Raw genomic sequence first — 1,069 nt, forward strand, 5'->3', positions numbered from 1 at the left:
GTGGAATTGCTATAGTGAATAAGGGGAGTTAAGATCAGTAATATGGTGCCAAATAGTTTATATAAATAATCTGTATTTTTTAAATCATTAATTAGATGAGCAAGCATGTTTGGTGATGCAGACAGCCTTTATCCACGGGTCTTTTTATGATCTCTCTTTTATTTGATGTGACAAAATGGCAGGTCAGATATAGAAAGGGGTTGATGCCGTTTCTAAATTATTCTTTAGGCATCGGACTCCAGATATTTTAGAGTAGATGGTTGTCTAAGACTAACTGGATGAAAGAGGCTGGTGGCTGCTTTTAAAAAATGCATGGCTTTTTGATGAATTGAAAGGGACTCAAGCTGTTGTCTTTTAAAGATGCAAGCTAAGGATTCTAGTCTGTTGAGGTGTTACCCACACAACAGGTGGGTTAAACTGCTAGGCAGGAGACAGTCCAATGAGCACAACCATGGAGTATTTAAGAGGGAGATTTTATTATTTGCAACAAGGAAGGAGGACATCTGGGATAGTTTCCCAAAGCAGTGCCTCCAGGAACAACAGTAAAAGCAGGACTTGTACTAGGCTGGTTAGCTGAGTCATTGTATGTGGAAGTGGCATAAAGGCAGTGCAGTCGCCTGCTGATCATGCTTCTACATACATTGCATGTACAGAAAATGGCAAATAAACTTCTCCCTGAGCAAGGTTTCTTACTATGGTTAATGAGGAGAGTTGGCCAAAGTTCCTCTCCAACTCAGGCATCTCTGGATCCAGCCAGTTTTAGTTTTTCCAGGGCTGAGCTTCTTCCCAGAGATTTTTGAAATAAGAACTCAAGATACAACAGACACAAGTGGGGATTTCCTCACAGTGCATACCCAAAAACCTGGAACCCTGGGTTACACAGGGAATCACTAACCCACCCTAGTTTGGACTGAACATAGAGGCTGTTGTGGTTCTCACTCAGAAATTTACATATATTTTTAAAGTTGTAGAGAACTATAATGCCACTTAAAACCCAACATTCCTCCCTAAAAAATACTTCTCTGATGAACCAGAATATGATGGAGGTATAATATTGATCCAACATTCA

The sequence above is a fragment of the Homo sapiens genome, chromosome 2 (assembly GCF_000001405.40).
Source record: "Homo sapiens chromosome 2, GRCh38.p14 Primary Assembly".
Classification (NCBI taxonomy): domain Eukaryota; kingdom Metazoa; phylum Chordata; class Mammalia; order Primates; family Hominidae; genus Homo; species Homo sapiens.